Here is a 20,180-nt window from a genome sequence, read left to right on the forward strand (position 1 = left end):
CACTGTGGGCCCCAAGCATAGTGTTGAAGTACTGTCTAGTGTTCCTGAGCACAAGAAGGCTGTGATGGGCCTTACAGAGAACAAGATATGTGTTAGATAAGTTTCCTTCAGGTGTGAGTAGTGTTGTTGGCCCTAAGTTCAATGTTAACAAATCAACTGTTTATATTTATTAAAGTGTCTTTAAATAGAAACAAATATAAAACAAAATTAGTGTTGATCAGTTGATGAAAATGTTGAAACCAGAGGTTTGCAGGAACCTAGCCCCATATTTCTTCCAGGAGAAATGGTTCAGTAATGAGTAATTCATTGTTTGTAGAACAGAACTACTGCAAATAACAAGGACCGAATATATTTAGTGAGCAAAAACAGACCTTACCTGTTCCCTTCATTAGTTACCCACTGGGATACTGATTGTAATCAATCAATCATATAAGTAAATGCAAAATTACCCTGTGATAAGTGCTATGAAGTAAAGATGAGCCACTTTTATAACTATAACTTTATCTAATGCTTAATCCTCTATTTCTGTTGTATGGTTTCTATTCCCTCCTTATTATAAGCAATACAATTAGCATATTTTCTCATTTTCCCCTTCTCAGTTTCCTCTTCCATCTGATTTTAGTTGATTGCAGTTTTAGTGTCAACATTTATACTGTTCAAATATACCTAGTCTATAACTTGATTTATAATGTTAAATTATCATCTTTTGACCTATGGCTATTAACAGTAGGTAACTCAACTTACCTGTAATACTGCCACAATTTCCTCTCCTACTTTCTCTCCCAACTTTTGTTACATGATTTTTACATCATCATTTCTACATTTCTATAATGTTCTGCATTTACAATCTGTTCTGTAATAATACAGTATGCAGATTTACAGCTCAAGGTTACCAGTTATCTTGTAGTTTCTCCATTCATCTTTTGTTTAAAGTTTATCTTCTAGTACAGAATTTCACAACCTTGGCACTATTGACATTTTAGGTTGGATGGTTCCTTTTTTTTGGTGGGGAAAGCAGAGCTCTCTTGCTCCAAAGGCTCTTGACAGAGGGCTTTGCACATAGTAGGTGATCAAAATTTGTTTTTTTATTTCTTCTAAAAAAAAAAAAAGCAGGATACATGCACAGAACGTGCAGGTTTGTTACATAGGTATACATATGCCATGGTGATTTGCTGCACCTATTGACCCATCCTCTAAGTTTTCTCCCCTCACCCTCCACCCACTAACAGGCCCTGGTGTGTGTTGTTCCCCAATCTGTGTTCATGTGTTCTCAGTATTCAACTCCCACTTACAAGTGAGAACACACAGTGTTTGGTTTTCTTTTCCTGTGTTAGTTTGCTGAGGATGATGTCTTTCAGCTTCATCCATGTCCCTGCAAAGGACATAATCTCATTCCTTTTTATGGCTGCATAGTATTCCATGATGTGTATGTACCACATTTTCTTTATCCAGTCTATCACTGACAGGCATTTGGGTTGGTTCCATGTATTTGCTATTGTGAACAGTGCTGCAATAAACATACGTGTGCATGTGTCTTTATAGTAGAATGATTTATGTTCCTTTGGGAATATACCCAGTAATGGGATTGCTGGATCAAATGGTATTTCTGGTTCTAGATCCTTCAGGAATCCTTATACTGTCTTCCACAATGGTTGAACTAATTTACATTCCCACCAACAGTGTAAAAGTGTTCCTATTTCTCCACAGCCTTGCCAGCATCTATTGTTTCCTGACTTTTTAATAATTGCCATTCTGACTGGCGTGAGATGGTATGTCATTGTGGTTTTGATTTGCATTTCTCAGATGATTAGTGATGTTAAGCTTTTTTTCATATGTTTGTTGGCTATGTAAATGTCTTCTTTTAAGAAGTGTCTGTTCATATCCTTCACCCACTTTTTGATGGGGTGGTTTGTTTTTTTTTATTGTAAATATGTTTAAGTTCCTTGTAAATTGTGGATATTAAACCTTTTTCAGATGGGTAGATTGCAGAAGTTTTCTCCCATTCTGTAGGCTGCCTGTTCACTCTGATGACAGTTTCTTTTGCTGTGCAAAAGCTCTTTAGTTTAACTAGATCCCATTTTGTCAGTTTTGGCTTTGGTTGCCACTGCTTTTGGCGTTTTTGTCATGAAGTCTTTGCCCATGCCTGTGTTGTGAATGGTATTGCCTAGGTTTTCTTCTAGGGTTTTTATGGTTTTAGGTCTTACATTTAAGTCTTTAATCCATCTTGAGTTAATTTTTGTATAAGGTGTAAGGAAGGGGTCCAGTTTCAGTTTTCTGTGTATGGCTAGCCAGTTTTCCGAGCACCATTTACTGAACAGGAGATCCTTTCCCCATTGCTTGTTTTTGTCAGGTTTGTCGAAGATCAGATGGTTGTAGATGTGTGGCATTATTTCTGAGGTCTCTGTTCTGCTCCATTGGTCTCTATGTCTGTTTTGGTAACAGTAACATGCTGTTTTGGTTACTGTAGCCTTGTAGTATAGTTTGAAGTCAGGTAGCGTGATGCCTCCAGCTTCGTTCTTTTTGCTTAGGATTGTCTTGGCTATGTGGGCTCTTTTTTGGTTCCATATGAAATTTAAAGTAGTTTTTTCTAATTCTTGGAAGAAAGTCAGTGGTAGCTTGATGAGGATAGCATTGAATGTATAAATTACTTTGGGCAGTATGGCCATTTTCACGATATTGATTCTTCCTATCCATGAGCATGGAATGTTTTTCCATTTGTTTGTGTCCTCTCTTATTTCCTTGAGCAGTGGTTTGTAGTTCTCCTTGAAGAGGTCCTTCACCTCCCTTGTAAGTTGTATTGCTAGGTATTTTATTCTCTTTGCAGCAGTTGTGAATGGGAGTTCACTTATGATGTGGCTCTCTGTTTGTCTGTTATTGGTGTATACGAATGCCTGTGATTTTTACACATTGATTTTGTATCCTGAGACTTTGCTGAAGTTGCTTATCAGCTTAAGGAGACTTTGGGCTGAGACAATGGGATTTTCTAAAAATACAATAATGTCATCTGCAAACAGAGACAATTTGACTTCCTCTACCCTTTATTGCTTTCCCTTGCCTGATTGTGCTGGCCAGAACTTCCAATACCAGGTTAAATAGGAGTGGTGAGAGAGGGCATCCTTGTCTTGTGCCAGTTTTCAAAGGGAATGCTTCCAGCTTTTGCCCATTCAGTATGATATTGGTTGTGGGTTTGCCATAAATAGCTCTTATTATTTTGAGATATGTTCCATCAATACCTGTTTATTGAGAGTTTTTAGCATGAAGTGGTGTTGAATTTTATCAAAGGCCTTTTCTGCATCTATTGAGATAATTATGTGGTTTTTGTCATTGGTTCTGTTTATGTGATGGATTATGTTTATTGATTTGATTTATGTATGTTGAACCAGCCTTGCATGCCAGGGATGAAGCCGACTTGATTGTGGTGGATAAGCTTTTTGATGTGCTGCTGGATTCGGTTTGCCACTATTTTATTGAGGATTTTCACATCGATGTTCATCAGGGATATTGGCCTGAAATTTTCCTTTTTCTGTTGTGTCTCTGCCAGGTTTTGGTATCAAGATGAAGCTAGCCTTATAAAATGAGTTAGGGAGGAGTCCCTCTTTTTCTGTTGTTTGGAATAGTTTCAGAAGGAATCATACCAGCTCCTCTTTGTACATCTGGTAGAATTCGGCTGTGAATCTGTCTGGTCCTGGGCTTTCTTTGGTTGGTAGGCTATTAATTACTGCCTCAATTTCAGAACTTGTTATTGGTCTGTTCAGGGACTCGACTTCTTCCTGGTTTCATCTTGGGGAGGGTGTATGTGTCCAGAAATTTATCCATTTCTTCTAGATTTTCTAGTTTATTTGCATAGAGGTGTTTATAGTATTCTCTGATGGTAGTTTGTATTTCTGTGGGATCAGTGGTGATCTCCCCTTTATCAGTTTTTATTGTGTCTATTTGATTCTTCTCTCTTTTCTTCTTTATTAGTCTGGCTAGTGGTCTATTTTGTTACTCTTTTCAAAAAACCAGCTCCTGGATTCATTGATTTTTTGAAGGGTTTTTCATGTCTTTAACTCCTTCAGTTCTGCTCTGATCTTAGTTATTTCTTGTCTTCTGCTAGCTTTTGAATTTGTTTGCTCTTGCTTCTCTAGTTCTTTTAATTGTGATGTTAGGGTGTCAATTTTACATCTTTCCTGCTTTCTCCTGTGGGCATTTAGTGCTATAAATTTCCCTCTACACACTGCTTTAAATGTGTCCAAGTGATTCAGGTACATTGTGTCTTCGTTCTCATTGGTTTCAAAGGACTTATTTATTTCTGCCTGAATTTCGTTATTTACCCAGTAGTCATTCAGTGGCAGGTTGTTCAGTTTCCATGTAGTTGTGCAGTTTTGAGTGAGTTTCTTAATCCTGAGTTCTAATTTGATTGCACTGAAGAGACTATTTGTTGTGATTTCCGTTATTTTGCATTTTCTGAGGAGTGTTTTACTTCCAATTATGTGGTCAATTTTCGAATAAGTGCGACGTGGTGCTGAGAAGAATGTATATTCTGTTGATTTGGGGTGGAGAGTTCTGTAGATGTCTATTAGGTCTTCTTGGTCCAAAGCTGAGTTCAACTCCTGAATATCCTTGTTAATTTTCTGTCTTGTTGATCTGTCTAATGTTGACAGTGGGGTGTTAAAGTCTCCCATTATTATTGTGTGGGAGTCTAAGTCTCTTTGAAGGTTTCTAAGAACTTGCTTTATGAATCCAGGTGCTCCTGTATTGGGTATATTTAGGATGGTTAGCTCTTCTTGTTGCATTGGTCCCTTTACCCATTATGTAATGCCCTCCTTTGTCTCTTTTGACCTTTGTTGGTTTAAAGTCTGCTTTATCAGAGACTGGGATTGCAACCCCTGCTTTTTTTTGTTTTGCTTTCCATTTGCTTGGTAAATATTCCTCCATCCCTTTATTTTGAGCCTATGTGTGTCTTTGCACGTGAGATGGGTCTCCTGAATACAGCACATTGATGGGTTTTAACTCTTTATCCAGTTTCCCAGTCTGTCTGTTTTAATAGGGGCATTTAGCCTATTTACATTTAAGGTTAATATCGTTATATGTGAATTTGATCCTGTTATTATGATGCTAGCTGGTTATTTTGCCCTTTAGTTGATGCAGTTTCTTCATAGTGTTGATGGTCTTTACAATTTGGTATGTTTTTGCAGTGGCTGGTACCAGTTTTTACCTTCCATATTTAATGCTTCCTTCAGGAGCTCTTGTAAGGCAGGCCTGGTGGTGACAAAATCCCTCAGTATTTGCTTGTCTGTAATGGATTTTATTTCTCCTTTGCTTATGAAGCTTAGTTGGGCTGGATATGAAATTCTGGTTTGAAAATTCTTTTCTTTAAGAATGCTGAATATTGGCCCCCACTCTCTTCTGGTTTGTAGCGTTTCTGCAGAGAGATCCGCTGTTAGTCTGATGGACTTCCCTTTGAGGGTAACCCGACCTTTCTCTCTGGCTGCCTTAACATTTTTTCCTTCATTTCAACCTTGGTGAATCTGACCATTATGTGTCTTGGGGTTGCTCTTCTCGAGGAGTATCTTTGTTGTGTTCCCTGTATTTCCTGAATTTGAATGTTGGTCTGTCTTGCTAGGTTGGGGAAGTTCTCCTGGATAATATCCTGCAGAGTGTTTTCCAGCTTGGTTCCATTCTCCTTGTCAGTTTCAGGTACACCAATCAAATGTAGGTTTGGTCTTTTCACATAATGCCATATTTCTTGGAGGCTTTGTTCGTTCCTTTTCATTCTTTTTTCTCTAATCATGTCTTCATGCTTTATTTCATTAAGTTGATCTTCAGTCTCTGATATCCTTTCTTCTGCTGATCGATTTGGCTTTTGATACTTGTGTATGCTTCACGAAGTTCTTGTGCTGTGATTTTCAGCTCCATCAGTTCATTTAGCTTCTCTAAACTGGTTATTCTAGTTAGCAATTCATCTAACCTTTTTTTCAAAGTTCTTAGCTTCCTTGCATTGGGTTAGATCAAGCTCCTTTAGCTCAGAGGAGTTTATTATTATCCACCTTCTGAAGCCTACTTCTGTCAATTTGTCAAACTCATTCTCCATCCAGTTTTGTTTCCTTGCTGGCATGGAGTTGTGATCCTTTGGAGGAGAAGAGGCATTCTGGTTTTTGGAATTTTCAGCCTTTTTGTGCTAGTTTTTCCTCATCTTCGTGGATTTATCTACCTTTGGTCTTTGATGTTGGTCACCTTCGGATGGGGTTTCTGTGTGGACATCTTTTTGTTGATGTTGATGCTATTCCTTTCTGTTTGTTATTTTTTCCTTCCATCAGTCTGGCCCCTCTGCTGCAGGTCTGCTGGAGTTTGCTGAAGGGCCACTCCAGACCCTGTTTGCCTGGGTATCACCAGCGGAGCCTGCAGAACAGCAAAGATTGTTGCCTGCTTCTTCCACTGGAAGCTTCATCCCAGAGGGGCACCCACCAGATGCCAGCTGGAGCTCTCTTGTATGAGATGTCTGTCGACCCCTGCTGGGAGGTGTCTCCCAGTCATGAGGCACGGGGGTCAGGGACCCACTTGAGGAGGCAGTCTGTCCCCCTTAGCAGAGCTCAAGTGCTGTGCTGGGAGCTCCGCTGCTCTCTTCAGAGCTGGCAGACAGGAACATTTAAGTCTGCTGAAGCTGCACCCATGGCCGCCTCTTCCCCCAGGTGCTCTGTACCAGGGAGAAAGGAGTTTTCTCTATAAGCCCCTGACTGGGGCTGCTGCCTTTCTTTCAGAGATGCCCTGCCCAGAGAGGAGGAATCTAGAGAGGCAGTCTGGCTACCACAGTTTTGCTGAGCTGCAGTGGGCTCCACCCAGTTTGAACTTCCTGGTGGCTTTGTATACACTGTGCAGGGAAAACTGCCTACTTAAGCCTCAGTGATGGCAGACGCCCCTCCCCCACCAAGCTTGTGTCCCAGGTCGACTTCAGACTGCTGTGCTGGCAGTGAGAGTTGCAAGCCAGTGGATTAGCTTGCTCAGCTCCATGGGGGTGGGATCCACTGAGCTAGACCACTTGGCTCCCTGGCTTCAGCCCCCTTTCCAGGGTAGTGAACAGTTCTATCTCTCTGGCATTCCAGGCACCACTGGGGTATGAAAAAAAAAAAAAAACTCCAGCAGCTAGCTCGATGTCTGCCCCCATGGCCACCCAGTTTTGTGCTTGAAACCCAGGGCCCTGGTGGTGTAGGCACCTGAGGGAATCTCCTGGTCTAGAGGTTGTGAAGAAGATGGGAAAAGCATAGTTTTTGGGTTGGAGTGCACCATTCCTCACGGCACAGTCCCTCAAGGCTTCTCCTGGCTAGGGTTGGGAGCTCCCGGACCCCTTATGCTTCCCAGGTGAGGTGACGCCGCACCCTGCTTTGGCTCGCCCTCCATATTGGGAAGATTTCTTTAAGCATCGCTTCTCTACCCAATCAGACTGCCTTTTTCTTTTCTCCCATAGTATTCCATACTTACTCCTACGCACCACTTATTATAACTGTTTACCTGCCTAGTTTCTATACTAAATTGTGAGATATTTGTTGGTAGTAAGGTTTGTGTTATATCATTGTACCCCCAGCACTATGTGTACAGCTGGCACATGGTAGGTGTTAAATGTTTATTGAATGAATTGATGAGAACAATAAATATGTGTTGTATTATCAAAGAAGGATGGATTGCATAGGGTTTAAGGTAGACTTTGAAAGAAAAAAATGATTTGAATTGGTTGATAAGAGAAGATTTTCCACATAGCATGATGAACATATGAAATGAAGTCATACATGAGCAATTGGGCCTTTTTGGTTGTCAGAAATAATTGCAGTAAATAAGGCTTCATATTGGAAAGTTATGAGTCATCACACAAAAAGGTGAGGTAAAGTAGATCCTGTTCACTTAGATTTTTATATCCCAAACTAAGAAATCTGAATTAATACCGATTCTGATAATTCAGCGAAAACATGGTATGACAATATCAGAAAACCAATGGGAAATTAACTCTGAAGACTAGGACGATGGCAGTGATAATCAGGGGAAAAACTTTTTTTAATTTTTATTTTCCCATTTTGTTTTCATGACATTGGGTTTGAAGAGAGGGGTTCATAAGTATATGGGACTGTGATATTTTGCTGTCTCTCAAGTGCCATATGGATCAAAGTTCAAATTTTGTCTTCAAGTTCAAGACTTGGTTCTGAGTCAGCAGAGGTTAACCCATTGCTACTGGGGAGTGGGGGTCTGTTGGAAGAAAGAAGGGGACATTGGTGTGAATGACTGTGGAGGACTGCAGATTTCCAGAACCCATCTCAGGCCTTGGACGTTTTCAATATAGTTTATTTGTTGGGAGTTGCCAAAGCAGACCCCTAGAGCAACATGGAATGGCTAGGCTGAGATTGTACTGGGAGTGGAAGGTTGTCAGGCGTACAGTGAACAGCTGATGAGAACACACACCTTCAGGGTTTCTTTTTCTCTGCATCCTCACTAACATCTGTTATTTTTTATCTTTTTAATAACAGCCATTCTGACTAGGGTAAGATAATATCTCATTGTGGTTTAATTTGTATTTCTCTAATGATTAGTGATATAGAACATTTTTAAATATAAGTGTTGGCCATTTGTATGTCTTCTTTTCAGAAATGTCTATTCATGTCATGCCTAAGGGGATTTTTTGTTTTCTAAGGGGATTTTTTTTTTCCTGTTGAGTTGTTTGAGGTCCTTGTATATTCTAGATGTTAGTACCTTGTGGTATGGATAGTTTGCAAATATTTTCTCCCACTCAACAAGGTCTTAGTCATAAATTATTTTCCTAGACCAGTGTCCAGGAGAGTTTTACCTAGGTCTTCTTATAGTATTTTTATAGTTTTGGGTCTTAAGTTTAACTCTGTAATCCATTTCGAGTTGATTGTTGTATATGGTAAGAGATAGGGATCCAGTTTCATTCTTTTGAATATGGCTGTCCAATTTTCCTAACACTGTTTATTAAAGAGGGTATCCTCCAGTTAGAATGGCAATCATTAAAAAGTCAGGAAACAACAGGTGCTGGAGAGGATGTGGAGAAATAAGAACACTTTTACACTGTTGGTGGGACTGTAAACTAGTTCAACCATTGTGGAAGTCAGTGTGGCGATTCCTCAGGGATCTAGAACTAGAAATACCATTTGACCCAGCCATCCCATTACTGGGTATATACCCAAAGGACTATAAATCATGCTGCTATAAAGACACATGCACACGTATGTTTATTGAGGCACTATTCACAATAGCAAAGACTTGGAACCAACCCAAATGTCCAACAATGATAGACTGGATTAAGAAAATGTGGCACATATACACCATAGAATACTATACAGCCTTAAAAAAGGATGAGTTCGTGTCCTTTGTAGGGACATGGATGAAATTGGAAATCATCATTCTCAGTAAACTATCACAAGGACAAAAAACCAAACACGGCATGTTCTCACTCATAGGTGGTAATTGAACAATGAGAACACATGGACACAGGAAGGGGAACATCACACTCTGGGGACTGTTGTGGGGTGGGGGGAGGGGGGAAGGATAGCATTAGGAGATATACCTAATGCTAAATGACGAGTTAATGGGTGCAGCACACCAGCATGGCACATGTATACATATGTAACTAACCTGCACATTGTGCACATGTACCCTAAAACTTAAAGTATAATAATAATAAAATTAAAAAAAAGAAAAAAAATATAAAAAGGGTGTCCTTTCCCCAGTGTCAGTTCTTGTCAGTGTTGTTGAAGATCAGTTGGCTGTAAGTATGTGACTTTATTTCAGGATTCTGTATTCTGTTCCATTGAGCATTTCTTGTAGCGTCACTCTTGGTTGTAACAAATTTCCTCAGCATTTGCTTGTCTGGGAAATACTTTATTTTTCCTCCATCTGTGAAGGATAATTTTGCTGGGTAGACTCTTCTTGGCTGACAGTTTTTTTTGTTTTTTTTTTTTTTTAATTTCAGCACTTTGAATATATCACCTCATTCTCTTTTAGCCTGTGAAATTTCTGCTAAGAAATCCACTGTTAAGGCCAGGCACAGTGGCTCACGCCTGTAATCCCAGTACTTTGGGAGGCCGAGGTGGGTGGATCACAAGGTCAGGAGTTCGAGACCACCTGGGCCAACATGGTGAAACCCCGTCTCTACTAAAAAAATACAAAAATTAGCTGGGCATGGTGGTGTGGGCCTGTAATCCCAGCTACTTGGGAGGCTGAGGCAGGAGAATCGCTTGAACATGGGAGGTGGAGGTTGCAGTGAGCTGAGATTGTGCCACTGCACTCCAGCCTGGGCAACAGAGCAAGACCTTGTCTCAAAAACAAAAACAAAACAACAACAACAAAAAACAAAAAAAACCCACAGAAATCCAAATCCACTGTTAGTCTGATGGGGTTTCTTTATTGGTGACCAGATGCTTTTCTCTTGCTTTTTAAAGGGTATGCTTTTTATCTTTGACTTTAGGCAGTCTCACTATAATGTGCCATGGGGAAGACATTTTTGCATTGTGTTTGCCTAGGGATTATTGAAGCTCCTATATCTGAATGTGAATGTCTAAAATTCTTGCTAGACTTGGGAAGTTTTCTTCTATTATTTAATTACATAGGTTTTATAGTCCTTCCTTTGTCTCTTTGCCCCTGGGATGCCAATAATTTGAATATTTGATCACATTATGTTGTCCCAAATATCACAAAGCCTTTGCGGATTCTTTTAGGTTCTTTTTCTTTATTTTTGTCTGACTGGATTATTTCAAAAGACGTGTCATCAAGTTCTGAGATTCTTTCTTCTGCCTGATCTAGTCTATTATTGGAGCTTTCAAATATATTTTATATTTTCTTCAATTAATTCTTCAGCTCCAGAATTTCTATTTGGTTCTTTCTTAAAAATATCTATCTATCTCTTTGGTAGATTTCTCATTCATATCCTGAATTCTTCTTCTGAATTGTTTGTATTTTCTAGAATTCTCTTGTATCTAACTGAGCTTCTTTAAAATTGAAATTTTGAATTATTTTTCTGGGATTTCAGCAACTTCTTTTTGATTAAGATCTATTACTGGAGAATTCTTGTTTTCCTTTGGAAGTTTCATATTTCCTTGTATTTTGATGTTTTCTGTGTCTTTATATTGATATCTGTGTATCTGGTGTAACAGTTGCATCTTCCTATTTTTTAATTCACTTCCATAGGGTAGGACTTTTTTCTGAAGATGTATCTGTGGTGTTGGTTGGGTAGGGCACTTTGGCTTTGATTCTGAGTACATGTAGTAGTGTAGTCTCTGTATGATTTCTTTGGCTATAAATAGCATTAATGCTTTCAGTGATTTCCTTAGAGGATTAGGCTGCAATTATTAGTGAAGGCTGTGGTGAAGTTGTGCTGGGGACAGGCCCCAAGGGTGGCAAGAGTAGGCTGACTCTACCTATCTTTGTGCCCCAGAGTGGTGTATGCTGGCACCTGTGTTGGCAGTTACTGGTGGGCCGGTTCCTGGGCCTTAGGTGGTTTGCATGGATGCTGGTAGTGGCAGCAGTGGGCTAGGTGACTGAACAGGTTCTCACGTCGCTGGGAAACAATTGTGCTATGGGTCATGGCAGTAGAGGTGGTGAATGACCCTCTGGGTCCTGCATGCTGTGGGCTGGTGTTGGTGGTGGCTGTGCTACAGGTCACCACCCACAGTTCCAGACATGCTGTTCTCAGGTTCTTCTGCTCTCTGCAGCAGCAGTGCTACAGTGCCATGTGAAAGGAGGAAGAACCTTGCTTTCACTCCAGATCCCAGGCATGCAGGCCATGTTACACTGTGAGGTTGTAGTCACTACTTAGAGCCTCAGTCAAGCAGGTCTCTGGATCACCTGCCCCAGGCTTCAGCAGCAGTAGCAGAAGTGGGTGTGTGGAGGAGGAGGAGATGTCCTGTTCTCTATGTGTGAGCCTGAGAACAGAGACTCTTCCGCCGGTGGGAGAGGAAATCAAACTAATGAGTATAAATTACTCCAGTTTGCCATTAAAGGGAAGGATAAATATGGTGAGATGGTGGTAGTTGGAAGGAGTTCTGGAGTCTATTGAAGCGTTTGCTGTGTTAATGTGTTTTGTTTTAATAGAGAGAAAATGAACTTAAATATATTGGTATAGCTATTTTATTGAATCAGTTAGCTTTAATTAGTTCCACTTAAGTAGGAAGCAAACATTATTTTCTTACTACTGCCCTTCAATCTCATGTGGCATATGTATCTCTCTAAAAGCTTTTCTAGTCAGTTTTGTCAATTAGCTCTATCTCATTTTCAGATATTGAATTACTTGTTTCATCTAAATTAGTACTTCCATATAGTGTACAATCAGACTGTGTCCCTTCTCCAAGCTCAACCTAGGCCTGCTAATTCTTACACAAGCCAAGGGAAGGAGGGGCCTGATCAGTTCTTCAACCCTATTTTTTTACTCTCTTTTTCTATTCTTTTCATTTTTCCTTTTTCTTTTTTTTTTGACAGGGTCTCACTCCGTCACCCAAGTTGAAGTGCAGTGGTACAATCATGGCTCACTGCAGCCTCAATCTCCTGGGCTCATGGTACCCTCCCACCTCAGCCTTCTGAGTATCTGGGAGTACAGGAGCATGATGCCACACTTGGCTAATTATTTTTTTTTTGTAGGGATAGGAGTATTGCTATGTTGCCCAGGCTGGTCTTGAACTCCTGGCCTCAAGCGATCCTGCTATCTCAGCATCCCAAAGTGCTGGGATTACAGGCATGAGCTACTGTGCCTGGCCCTACTCTCTTTCTCAACTCATATTATAGTTTTTGGTTCCTCTATAAGTGGGGCAAGGTGTGGGGAAGAGTTAAGTTGTTAAAAAGTTAAAAATTAAAGTGAGAATCAGCATCAGTCTTGTACCCCATGGAAATGTCAGGAGATACAAGTCAAGTAGTTAAAATGATTCTCTTATATTACTCTGATCAGGAAACAGCACTAGTAAACCAATACATTTTGCTGTTCTACAAGTATCAGTCAGGGAGGTGGATAGGGGAAGAGTGAGATGTTACTTTCTCCTTGTGGCATATATTCCTCTTCTCTATAAAAAGTCTCCCTCACTTGGTTTGAGATAGGGGACATCATCCCTCCTACACCCTCCATGGGGAGGGAAAAATCAGGGAAATGCATAGAACTCCAATAGCTCTGTTCAGAAGAAATACTGTCTCCAAACTCAGATCAGTCTCTAGCAATCCCATATAGACAACAGATGGGTAAAGGGTGAAGTGTTGAAGGACTAATTTTGGCCACCCCTTGGCAAATTTTGCCTTAATGAATCTATTATCTCCTCATTTGAATGTACAGATCCTCATCATTTATTGCACTCAGCTGAGAGAACAGAAAAATGTCATTTCACATTCTGTTGCATAGGAAAGAAAAGGCATATATGATTCCTGCCTAAGAATGCAAGCTCAGTGGATTTTCTGGACGTAAGATAGAAAAGAATACTTATTGTTATAACCTAAATGAGCTTATGGCACCTGTAACCACTATCAGATTGTTATCATCTTCAAAAGACACATTGGTCTGACATCTGGCATTTAAAAGAAATGTAAATCTTTGGTCAAGGAAATTTCAAATGAGGGAGAGCTAATGATGTATGATAAATAGCAAAACTTCATCAATTGTATCCATCCCTATTGCCAGAGTTTTAGTGATAACCTCTCAAAAATCTAGTCTATTATTGGAGCTTATATCTCCCCTTCTCTCTACCAATTCTGTTCTTCCAAGAATAGCTCTCTACCCTTTTAAAATCTAATACAATTTAGCCTTGTCACTTCTCCGGTTGCTCACTCAAACTTTATACCAGTCATGTCAACACACATCCTGGTAGCTGAGCAAGTGTATACAGAAACATTTTTAGAAGGTGAGAAAGGGGTGAGTGGGTAAAGAAAAGTGAATGCTAAGATATTTTGTCTGTGACATATTGATAAATATAATTTAATTTTTCTTTTTTTCTTTTGGTTTAGCTAAAACTGGTAAAATTGAGTCACTACATGTAGCATTCACTGAAGATGAAACCACTTCCATTAAAATGGATAGAACTCGTTTTCCTGATGTTTTAAGAAATCAATCACTAACACCTATCAATATCCAAAATATCTTTCTTGATCACTGTGTACAAGAAAGAGTGACTGCAATTTCATCACCCCAGAAATCTACTAAGCATGTCCGTGAGCAGATTCCAGATACTGCTACTGGTTCCATATTTTTTCCACATTGTAATTCAGCTTCTACTCGAATTTTTGGGAAACAAACAAACAAAATGGAAAGTTCAAGAAAGTTTAAAACTATGAAAGATGTTTATACTGAAAAAAGGCTAGAAAACATTTTAATTCTTTCTTCCAAGTTTTCCAAACCTAAAAGTACTCCTGGCTCAGTTATCGCTCAAAAACTTGAGAAAATGCACCCTAAGCATCAACCTTTACCAGAGAGTCCAGGCTATACTTATCAGCACATCTCGAGAGACTTAAGTGCAACAGTGCCAAGCCCTCCACCTATGACTGTATCTATGAAACCAGAAGGACAGTGGCCTGAACATTTTAAATCAACTGCTACATTGACACTAAGAGTTACTGAATTTCCAGGTTTTGTTTCCTTGCCAACACCAGTTTTACCAAGAAAACCTCACAGGCAGTCTGTGATAGGTAAATACAATCTGAACACGGTATAATTATAGAGTCAAGTAGAGCAAAGGGGAGAGAAGGCATGCAAGCTAATGGTACCCCTCCCGCTTTGGGTTTGCAGAATGGGAGGATGGAATCACCTTTTATATATACATGTAATACTTGAGCCATAGGGCAATAACAGAAGTCCTGACCTTGCAGATCTGCCAAGGCCAGACTGGGTACTCCATTCAGATGGTGATAATGGGAACCAACAAGGGAATTCAAAGGATCGGAAAAGCTAATATAAAGAAGCAGTGAGAATACACAGTCATTCAAAGGTGATCTAGAAGAACTCCAGAAGTAGAATGCCAGTGCTGATAGACGCCTTCATGAATATATTTTCATGGATAATTGGAATCCATTAAATGATGAACAATTATATTGAAGTCATAAAACCCTCAAGTGAATTTTTACAAATATCCAAAGTCATCCCATTTGTTTTTCATTTTTCTAGAAACTCTTGTAACAGAAAATGGAAATATAGAAAGTGTCCCAAAGCAAATCCCACCAAGACCACCTGAAGGTAAATGCTAGATTTATACAATTCTTTTAGAAAATGTATGTAAGATTATATCTTTAAAAAATTATGGGTGATTTTTTGTGTTTATGTGTGTGATTCACACATGCATAACACACATATGTCTTACCTCATTTTCAGCTCCCTAAGTCATTTATGGAGCAGCTATTTTTAATATATTGACTATGAACCAAATATATTGATATTGAGAATATAAAAGCTGATGCACTCGTAATCTGGGTGGGGTGGACAGGCATACAGAAATATGAATTAACTATTTGCCATGTGCCAGGCAAATCAAACAAATGAAAATGAAAAATATATTTGAAGAAAGATTATACCATCCTAGATGTTACATTATGTCTACAAACAATCTCTCAAATATAGTGTGTGGCAAATAATTCACAATTACCAGGCACACAAAGAGAAAGACAAAATGAATGAAAACTAGCAGAAACAATAAGCAGTAGAAACATATCCACAGGATTATTTGGTATTAGAATTATTGGGCACATTTTTTAATAACCTGGTGACTTCTGGGTTTTTTCCATTACTAAGTAGTTTGTAATGGACTAACCTTACCAAAATCAACTATTAAAGCTGCCAAAAATATATAAAGTAGCTATTGAAGGAACTGGACAGTAACCAATGTGGGCGTGACTTGAGTAGAACTGGACAGTAACCAATGTGGACATTACAATTCCTGAAAGAAGGGAAGCTCTGCCTTTACCTTGGCTCATGCCTGAGGGTGTTTGTGGTGTGGGAGAATGGATTACAAGTAGAATGTGGTGGTTTTAGTGGATTGAGGAGCTAGTAGTCAGACTTCAGAGCAGCCAATATACTTGGGACTTGAGGGAGAAAATCTTGGCGAGGAGAGAATTGAAGGAAGGTGAATCAAAAAATCTGCATACAAGCTGGGCACAGTGGAGTGCAGCTGTAGTCTCAGTTCTTGAGAGGCTGAGGTGGAGTATCACTTTAGCCCAGGAGTTCGAGGCCCGCCTGGAACATAGTGAGACTCAGTCTGTGTTAGGCCATTCTTGCATTGCTATAAAGAAATACCTGAGACTGGATAATTTATAGGGAAGAAAGACTTAATTGGCTCACAGTTCTGCAGACCTTACAAGAAGTATGGTGCTGGTATTTGCTGCTGGTGAGGGCCTCAGGGAGCTTTTACTCATGGTATACAGCAAAGTGGGAGCTTGAACATCACATGATGAGAGCGGGAGCAAGAGAGAGAGTGGTGTGCGGTACAGGTGCCACAAACTTTAAAACAGCCAGATCTTATAAGAACTCACTATCATGAGGGCAGCACAAAGCCATGAGGGATCTACTCCCATGAACCAGACACCTCCCACCAGGCCCCATGTCCAACACTGGGAGTTACATTTCAATATGAGATTTAGAGGGGACAACATCCAAACTATATCACTCCACCTCTGGCCCCTCAAATATCATGTTCTTCTCGCATTGCAAAATACAATCATCCCCTGCCAATAGTTCCCCAAAAGTCTCAACTGATTTCAGCATCATTCAAAAGTGCAAAGTCTCACGTGAGACAAGGCATGTCCCTTTGTATTAGTTTGGGTTCTCTAGAGGGACAGAACTAATAGGATATATGTATATATGAAAGGGAGTTTATTAAGGAGAATTGACTCACCATCACAAGGTAAAGTCCCATGATAGACCGTCTGCTAGTTGAGGAGTAAGGAAGCCAGTAGTGACTCAGTTTGAATCCCAAAACCTCAAAAGTAGGGAAGCCGACTGTGTAGCTTTCAGTCTATGGCTAAAGGCCCGAGAGCCCCTGGCAAACCACTGATGTAGGTCCAAGAGCCCAAAAGCCGAAGAACTTGGAGTCTGATATTCTATGGGAGGGGCTGCCACAATGGTCTCTGAAATGTCTTTGAGGCCTTGTTCCTCTTGGCTATTTGTATTTGGATCCTTTTTAGTTATGCACATCTCTCTAGCAAGTGGTTACTCTATAGCCTGCTGGAATCCCTCTCCCAAAGCTTTTTCTTTCCATGCTGTATGGCCAGGCTGCAAATTTTCCAAACTTTTACAATCTGCTTCCCTTTCGAATATAAATTTCAACTTTGTCATTGCTTTGCTCCCACATCTGAGCATAGGCTGTTACAAGCAGCCAGGCCAAATCTTGAATGCTTTGCTGCTTAGAAATTTCTTCTATCAGATACCCCAAGTCATCACTCTGAAGTTCAGACTTCCACAGATCATTAGGACATGAATAGAATTTAGCCAAGCTCTTTGCTAAGGTGTAACATGGGTGACTTTTGCTCCAGTTTCAAATAAGTTCTTCATTTCAATCTGAGACCTTGGCAGCCTGGACTTCACTGTCAATATAAATATCAACATTTTGGTCATGCTGTTTACCTAGTCTCTGGGAAGTTCCAAACTTTCCCTCATCATCCTGTCTTCTTCTGAGCCCTAGAAACTTCCAACCTCTGCCTGTTACCTGGTTCCAAAGTGGCTTCCACATTTTCATGTATCTTTATAGCAATGCCCTTCTCCTCAGTACCAATTTTATGTGTTAGTTTGTTCTTTCATTACTACAAAGAAAAACCCAAGACTGAGTAATGTGTAGAGAAAAGAGGTTTAATTGGTTTACAGTTCTGAAGGCTATACAAGCGTAGTTATGGCATTCCCTTGGCTTTTGGGGAGGCCTCAGTGAGCTTTTACTCATGGCAGAAGGCAAAACAAGAGCAGGTATATCACACCACTGCAAAAGCAGAAGCAAGAGAGAGTGAAGGAGAGGTGCCACACACTTTTTCTTTTTTCTTTTTTTTTTTAGACAGAGTCTTACTCTATTGCCCAGGCTGGAGTGCAGTAGGACAATCTCAGCTCACTGCAACCTCCGCCTGCCAGGTTCAAGTGATTCTCCTGCCTCAGCCTCCTGAGTAACTGGGACTGCAGGCATGCACCACCATGCCCAGCTAATTTTTGTATTTTTCATAGATACAGGGTTTCACCATGTTGACCAGACTGGTCTCAAACTCCCAACCTCTAGTGATCCTCCTCGGCCTCCCAAAGTGCTGGGATTACAGATGTGAGCCACCGCACCTGGCCTGCCACACACTTTTTTTTTTTTTTTTTTGAGACAGAGTCTCGCTCTGTCACCCAGGCTGGAGAGCTGTGGCAAGATCTCGGCTCACTGCAAGCTCCACCTCCCAGGTTCGCGCCATTCTCCTGCCTCAGCCTCACGAGTAGCTAGGACTACAGGCGCCCGCCACCATGCCCAGCTAATTTTTTGTATTTTTAGTAGAGACGGGGTTTCACCGTGTTAGCTAGGATGGTCTTGATCTCCTGACCTCGTGATCCGCCGGCCTCGGCCTCCCAAAGTGCTGGGATTACAGGCGTGAGCCACTGCGCCCGGCCTGCCACACACTTTTAAACAACATCGGAATTCCACTCACTACCACAAGGACAGCACCAAGCCATAGGAGATCTGCCCCCATGACCCAAACACCTCCCTCTGGGACCCACATCCAACATTGGGGTTTACATTTCAACATGAGATTTAAAGAGGACAACATCCAAACTATATCACAGTCTCTTTAAAAAAATCTTCATACAAACTCCAAGGTTGCTAGCTAATTGTAAGCTGTGAATGTATAGAACAAGACTCCAAGAAACACAGTAGAAAACATCAGCTGAGAAGACAAGAAATTTATCATAGAGTTTTGTGTTTGCACAAAAGATGGATAATAGAGTTCAAGCTCTGCCAAAGTGTTGGGGCCTTTGTAAACACATTGGAATTTCCGTTGAAATTCCATTCCTTAGGAATAAAGATGATGTTCTAGGAAAGAGGACAAAACTAAAATAGCCAAGCCCTAACAAAGCTCAAACCAATCCTTGATAATGGTGTTTTCTGCCTAATCAAGGAAAACCTAACACGTTGAGAGAAAGATAGAGAGAGAAAGAGAGAGGGCGTATTATCCAGACTTCTTAAAATAGTTCATCCTCGAAGTCCAACATTAAATTTAAAAAATTACAACACATTCTAAAAAAAAAATAAAATATCTGAAAAATGGTAGAAAGAAACAGGCAATAAAACAGCCCTATATTTGATTCAGATATTAGAGTTTCAAATGGATTTAAAAGTAACTATGATTACTATGTCCAAGAAAACAAAGAGGTCATTGGAGAATTTCACCACAGAACTGGTATTTTTGTTTTTTAAAATGAGTCAAATAAAATTCTAGAACAATAAAAATAATATACCCAATTAATAATTCAAATAGCTGCATTTAGTAAGAGGTTATACACAGCAGAACACTCTAACCATAACCTACCATTCCTCCCAGAACTTTTGTACCCTTGTCTATGATGTAAATTAACTTCCGGGTGTCTTCCATGTCATGCTGCCATTTTTGCTTTATTGAGTTTCTTCTCTGGTAGTTTCCTCCTTAGAAAATTTAAGAATCCTCAGATTCTTGAGAGATCACATCCTCTTCATCTCCATCTTCCTCATTTCTACTCAACAACCAACTCTGTGGGCTTAGAGCAGGGAGCAGGCCACAGACTTATGTCTTAATTCACTCTCTTTCCCTTCTTGCTCCATTCTTTCTACCAAGCCAAGGCATCTCTATATTACATTATATATCTTTCTTTATTCTGTGGTCAGCTTTCACATCTCTTGATCTGAAATGGGCACAGAGGTTCTATTTTAGAAATTAAAAACCTTTTTTTGTTTTCTTTGTTCTAGGATGCTTATTTTCTCTCATCAAACCAGTAGCATAAGAATTACTGACATTATAAAATATGTTTCTGCAAACAATGCAGCAATAATGGCTGCAAAAGTAAAATATATAAAATTTTAAAATACTTTCCTGCCACATTTGGTGTATACTTGCATAGGACATTTTTGATGGAAGGTGAAACCCATAGGGTCATAATAAAGTAAATTTAAATTTAGATGGTCTTTCTTTGGCTTACTCCTGAGATGTTTGTTTGTTTCCTATGGGGGATCTACAAACTAAAGGAAGAGTTTAAT

At 40.0% G+C, this 20,180-nt stretch overlaps 1 protein-coding gene across 22 annotated transcripts in view; it reads left to right on the forward strand.

The window, feature by feature from the left end:
• LRRC63 (leucine rich repeat containing 63) overlaps positions 1–20,180 on the forward strand; it is a 65,188-nt gene that overhangs the window by 1,625 nt on the left and 43,383 nt on the right. For 19 of the 22 annotated variants that reach the window (XR_001749498.2, XR_007063660.1, XR_941519.3 and 16 more), the window contains 2 exons: positions 13,960–14,637; positions 15,113–15,181. Coding sequence is in view for 9 of the 22 variants with exons in the window: in NM_001282460.2 (NP_001269389.1) it covers positions 13,960–14,637; positions 15,113–15,181 (747 nt within the window). In the remaining 13 variants the exon portion in view is untranslated. Of the gene's footprint in view, positions 1–12,663; positions 13,420–13,959; positions 14,638–15,112; positions 15,182–20,180 lie in introns of those variants that run through there. The other 3 variants (XM_017020431.2, XM_047430140.1, XM_017020423.2) reach the window with 2 other exon arrangements.

The sequence above is a fragment of the Homo sapiens genome, chromosome 13 (genome assembly GCF_000001405.40).
Source record: "Homo sapiens chromosome 13, GRCh38.p14 Primary Assembly".
In the NCBI taxonomy this organism is placed as follows: domain Eukaryota; kingdom Metazoa; phylum Chordata; class Mammalia; order Primates; family Hominidae; genus Homo; species Homo sapiens.